The 6205-nt window shown below is 44.0% G+C and overlaps 1 annotated feature.

The window, feature by feature from the left end:
* Window positions 4110-4935: an enhancer, noted in NCBI's record as "OCT4-NANOG hESC enhancer chr3:66582385-66583210 (GRCh37/hg19 assembly coordinates)". NCBI's record gives its function as "activates a minimal SCP1, AML or CMV promoter by ChIP-STARR-seq in naive and primed H9 embryonic stem cells {active_cell/tissue: H9 hESC(naive and primed)}" and the evidence as "EXISTENCE:reporter gene assay evidence [ECO:0000049][PMID:30033119]".

The raw sequence follows: 6205 nt of genomic DNA on the forward strand, positions 1-6205 counted from the left end.
GAGATGCCCACGTCCTAGTCCCTGGAACCCATGGGCATGTAATGGCAAAAGGGACTTTGCAGATGTGATCAAGGTTAAGGCTATTGAGATTAGAAGTTTATCCTGAATTACCCAGAGGGGCCAAATTTAATCACGTGTCCTTAAAAGGGAGAAACCTTGGAAGCTGTGGTCAGAGGAAGGTAGGCCTCTGGAAGAAAAGTGGGAGAGATGCAGAATGACAAGGACTTGACCTGCCATTCCTAGCTTTGAAGATAGAAAATGGGGCTAAAAGCCAAGGAATGCAACCATCCCTAGAAGCTGGCAAGGACTCTCAGTTTACAGCCAGAAAAAAAAAAAATTTAAAACAAAACTAGGACCTCAGTTTTACAACTGTGAAGAACTGAAGTTTGCTAACAACCCAAATGAGCAAAGGATCCTCTCCCAGAACCTCCAGAAAGAATATAGCCCCACCAATACCTTATTGTAGCCCAGTGAGACCCATGTCCAACATCTGAACTCCAGAACTGTAGAATAATAAATATGTGTTGTTTAGCCACTACATCCGTGGTAATTTGTTACAGCAACAGGAAACAAGTACAGACCTCAATTAGCTAATGACATTCATTGGACACCACTGCACTAGAAACCAGGAGCTGACCGGCCTCTCTTGAGCTGCAGCTCCTTTTGGGCTATGGTTCTATTTTCAGGCTACATAGGAACATTGGCTTTTTGTCCCTGTGTGTTCTTGATGCAGCCAGGTGACCTTGATTAACTTACCTAAGCTCATTGAGCTTCAGTTTCATCATCTGTTCAATGAGGAGGTTGAGCAAAAACAGCTCCAAACTTTACTTTTTCTCACCATGACATGCTTGATAGAAAATGTTCCCATCTTCCACTCACTGACGGGCATAATCTAGGTTTGGGGAAATTTCCAGCACTCTAGAAATAACATTATTTCCTCTCCCCATCAAAAAATCAGGCCGGGTGCAGTGGCTCACACCTGTAGTCTCAGCACTTTGGGAAGCTTGGGTGGGTGGATCGCTTGAGCCCCGGAGTCCGAGCCAGCTTGGGCAACATGGGAAGACCTTGTCTCTACCAAAAACAAACAAACAAAATAGCCGGGCATGATGACATGTGCTTATAGTCCCAGCTACTCGGGAGGCTGAGGTAGGAGGATCACTTGAGCCCAGGAGGTCAAGGATGCAGTGAACCATGAATGTGCCACTACACTCCAGCCTGAGCAACAGAGTAAGACCCTGTCTCAAAAAAAGAAAGAAAAAAAGGAAAAAAGTATTCTCATTTGAGCTGGCTGCAGTGGCATGCACCACAGCCCCAGCTACTCGGAAGACTGAGGTGGGAGGATCACTTGAGCCCAGGAGGTCAAGGTTGCAGTGAGCTGTGAACGTGCCACTGCACTCCAGCCTGGGCAACAGAGTGAGACCCTGTCTCAAAAAAAAAAAAAAAAAAATCACGTCAGAATATAAGTGATAAGCGATGTTTTGACAGGGATAACCTTATATTTACTCTAATTTATTGAGCTTAGTTGCAGAATTTGGATATTTATGTATATATATCATAATATTTTACAAAAGTGGCACAGAATTACATTAATGTAATGCACAACAAGAAATCTATCATCGGCTGGGCATGGTAGCTCACACCTGTTATCCTAGCACTTTGAGAGGCTGAAGTGGGAGGATCATTTGAGCTCAGGAGTTTGAGACCAGCCTGGGTAACAGAAGGAGACCTCATCTCCAAAAAAAAAAAAAAAAAATTAGCCGAGTGTGTGGTGGCACACGCCTGTGGTCCCAGCTACTTAGAAAGCTAAGATGGGAGGATGGCTTGAGCCCAGGAGACTGAGGCAGCAGTGAACCATGATTGTACCACTGCACTCCACCCTGCTGACAGAGTGAGACCCTGTCTCAAAAACAGAAAACAAAACAAACAAAAAAACTCAACAACAACAAAACATTGTATATCATAAGCAATGAAGTTTTACTATTAATACCACAATACTAACAGTAGATGTGAGCACTGAGCTAGACATTGGTAATACTCTTCCTAGCGCTGAAATGGAATAGTTTTAGGAATTGAAGAGTGGCCTAAATTAGTTGAGGGGGAACCACTTGCAGCTGAAAGTGTGGAAGAAGGTGAAGGGGGAAAAAACATTTTCTAAAACCTTAAAAAAAAAAATCAGTTCCTCCCCCTGAGTCTCCACCCCTAACCAAACTGAGCAAACCCTTAATACAGCAATAGTATTAGACTTGTAATTATTTCATTAGGAAATGACACACAAAACTTCATCCTGAATTTGTGCAGGGAGCTAGGGCCAAGGGCCTTCTAGTAATTCCTAATGAGCTTCCTATTGAATAAGAAAGAACTAAAACAGGGTAGCAAGGAAACCAATCAATATCGACAGCAGGCCTGCCTGAGCTGCAGTCTATTTAGTGGCCCTGGAGCTGTTTCATGTTGAGCATCTGTGCCAGGAATAGTTCTAAATCTTAATATTTCAATATTTTCAAGGCAGTTCAATTTGAGTTAGGTGCCCAGACACAAAGCACATGAATTTCTTGAAAAAGGGATGACACGGTGTTGGGAAAGGAGTCCTTTACATGGTGTGGCTAAGACCTGGGCCCTGGGGGTCAGACATCCCAGTGTATGAATCCCAGTTCTATCACTAACTGTGAGTATGACATTAGGCAAGTTACTTCACCTCTCTTGACCTCAGTAGCCTTTTCTGTAAAGTGAAGAGAATCGTAATGCCTTCTTCATGTACTGAGGGCTTAGACAGATGCCTGGTGGGAAGTGAGGACTCAGTGTCAGCTCTCACCATTATTAAGACCACAGTTACCTCAAGGAAAAGCCTGCCGAGCGGGCTGGACTGCTTTCTTGTCATGCATTATATTAATGAAGTTCCTTGCCTGCTTTGTAAAATATATGGGCATTTATGCATAAAATTTCAAGTCCTTTATCTAAGCTGTTATGCACTTTTTGAAATCTTCCATAGTGTGGCTTTCATGGCATTCCCTTCTTTAGATGCTAATCTTTTTTTTTTTTTTTTTTTTTTTGAGACAGTCTTGCTCTGTTCCCCAGTCTAGAGTGCAGTGGTGCGATCTCGGCTCACTGCAGCCTCCGCCTCCTGGGTTCAAGCGATTCTTGTGCCTTGGCCTCCCAGGTAGCTGGGATTACAAGTGCGGCACCACCACACCCGGCTACTTTTTTTTTAGTATTTTTAGTAGAGACGGGGTTTCCCTAGTAGAGACGGGGTTTCCCCATGTTGTTCAGGCTGGTCCCGAACTCCTGGCCTGAAGTGATCCAGCCGCCTTGGCCTCCCAAAGTGCTGGGATTACAGGCATGAGCCACCGCGCCCGGCCTAGATGCTGATCTTTTTAATGTATGAATTGAACTAGACTTTTGTTGGGACCAGGATTATACTTCTGTTCTCCTGGCCCAGTTCTCAGAGCAAGGGATGCATCAGTTACTGGAAATCTGAAATCCAGTTAGAAGACCTTCCTTCCCACTCCATAGTGACTTGCAGGAGAGAATGAGGAACACAGATAAACAAACCAGAAGAGGTGCTTTTGTTTTTGTGCAAATGACACTGTTAGTTCTGAACAGATGACTGGACCATGAAATTATTAGAATAGCACAGCAGGTCCCTGGTAAGAGTGACTCAAAGTGGTTGCCTTGCTTTTTGTTAACACCAGTGAAATTTGAATTACACAGATGAGAATATGCATTGGAATGGGGAGTCAAGGGTAATGGATTCTAATTCGTCTTTTACCAGAAATAGTTATGTGACCCTGAGCAAGTCACTTGCCCTTTCTGGCTTTAAATTTGTCCTCCATAAAATGAAGAAGTTGAATTAGATCAATGCATCTCATTCTGGGACATGCAAAACATGAGTGCTGTGTGACATTATTCAGGTAATTTTGCTATGTACTTACTTTAACATGCACTTAAAGAATATACGAGGTAGCTGGGCATGGTGCCTCAACGCCTGTAATCCCAGCACTTTGGGAGGCCAAGGTGAGACTCTGTCTCAACAAAAAAATAGGAAAATGTACTAAGTATATCAGCCCCATGATTTCATGGATCTTATTGCTTAAAATGAAACTCAACGTATTTAAGTTTAGAAAGAAGAAGCAAAAACAGATGAAAACATTTTGTATTAGACACTGGTCTGATCTCCTGATATATATATCCCGGCTGATGACGTTGTCTGGTGTGTATTAATCATGTTTTTTATTTTGCACATTTTATGGCGCTTTGATATCTGGAGGCCTTTCTATTCCAGGAAGGGACTGCTTCTCTCAAGATTAGCTAATTCCTAGAGATAGCAAACAACTGCTTTAGAGCATGCCTTTCATATGCAAACCAACCAATCCTGTGTCCATACCTCCTACCCACCTTCTTTCATTAGGCTCCTGCAGTTTGGGACACTAGCCTCCTGCCCTAAATCACACTGGGCCAGGTACAGGACAATTAGAGACCACCCCCTATAGTTTTGAGCTCACTGAAATTATTCAAACTATTCAGTTCTAAATGTGACTACCCTGCCTTGCCCATTTCTTCCTGTAAAAACCATAATAAAGGCTCTGGCCCAAGCATTTGCTTCCCTCCTTCTCCCTCCTGATTGTCCCTGGTGCTTCTCGACCTGGCCCTGCATGACATACCCTGCCCCTCCTCTTGAGAACTGTGAATAACAAACTGTCTTTTCAATGGCAGCCAGTCTCCTGATCTGATGGCCTCACCATAGCTGGATTTTAAAATGGGGAAAGAATACCTTTGAGCTACTCTTATTAATTGTGAAGAACTTTTACCTCATCACCTGGCAGGCTTGCTTTTTCTCTGTTTTAAAAATTGTCTTGTTATAGAAAGTAGATTAGTTGCCAGGGGCTAGGAGGAGGAGAGAATGGGGAGTGACTCCTAATGCTATGGGATTCTTTTTGGGGTGATGAATGCTGGTTGTGGAATGAGATAGTGATGATGGTTGCACAATTTTGTAAATATACTAAAAACACTGAGCTGTACACTTTAAAAGGGTGATGTTTATGGTATGTGAGTTATATTTTAAGAAAAAATGGTCCTCTTGACCACTTTTCCTCTCCTCTAACTCATTTGCCCTGCAAAATTCAACTTCGATGTCATCTTGTCCCCCAAAGCCTTTGCATGCAATGCCTATGGTTATAATACTTCTCCTTGCTGTGTTTTCAGGGTTTTGTTTTTGTTTTTATAGAGACAGGGTCTTTCTCTATCACCTAGGCTGCAGTGCAGTAGTATGATCATAGCTCACTGCAGCCTTGAACTCCAGGACTCAGTAACTCAGTACTCAAGTAGCTGGGACTGCAGGTGCGCACCACCATGCCCGGCTAATTTTTTTTTTTTTTTTTTTTTTGAGACAGGGTCTCACTTTGCCACCAAGGCTGGAGTGCAGTGGTGCAATCTGGGCTCACTTCAGCCTCAACCTCCCAGGTTCAAGCGATCTTCGCACCTCAGCCCCGCTAGTAGCTGGGACTACAGGGATGCATCACCACACCCGGCTAATTTTTGTATGTTTTGTAGAGATGGGGTTTCACCACATTGCCCGGGCTGGTCTTGAACTCCTGACCTCAAGTGATCCACCAGCCTCAGCCTCCCAAAGTGCTAAGATTACAGGCGTGAGCCACTGTGCCTGGCCCCGACTGATTTTTTAAAATTTTTATTTTTGGCTGGGTGCGGTGGCTCACACCTGTAATCCCAGCACTTTGGGAGGCCGAGGCGGGCGGATCACAAGGCCAGAAGATAGAGACCATCCTGGCTAACACGGTGAAACCCCATCTCTACTAAAAATACAAAAAATTATTTGGGTGTGGTTGTGGGCACCTGTAGTCACCACTGCACTCCAGCTTGGGCGATAGAGCGAGACTCCTTCTCAAAAAAAAAAAAAAAAGAAAGAAAGAAAAAAATTTATTTTTGTAGAAATGAGGTCTCACCACCTGGCCCAGGCTGGTCTTGAACTCCTGGGCTCAAGGTATCCTCCCACCTCAGCTGCCCAGAGGGCTGGGATTACAAGCATGAGCCACTCCACCAGCCTCCTTGCTATGTTTTCCTTGCTGGTTTATGAGGGGTGGGCGTTAAGAAAAAGAAACACTTTCTCGTAGACCCTTCCGTTGTTGCTTGGGAAAGTTGCCATTTAACTCCAACCCACCACCACGACCCTACCCCACCACTTCTTTGATCCAAG

Source organism: Homo sapiens, chromosome 3 (genome assembly GCF_000001405.40).
Source record: "Homo sapiens chromosome 3, GRCh38.p14 Primary Assembly".
Taxonomy (NCBI): domain Eukaryota; kingdom Metazoa; phylum Chordata; class Mammalia; order Primates; family Hominidae; genus Homo; species Homo sapiens.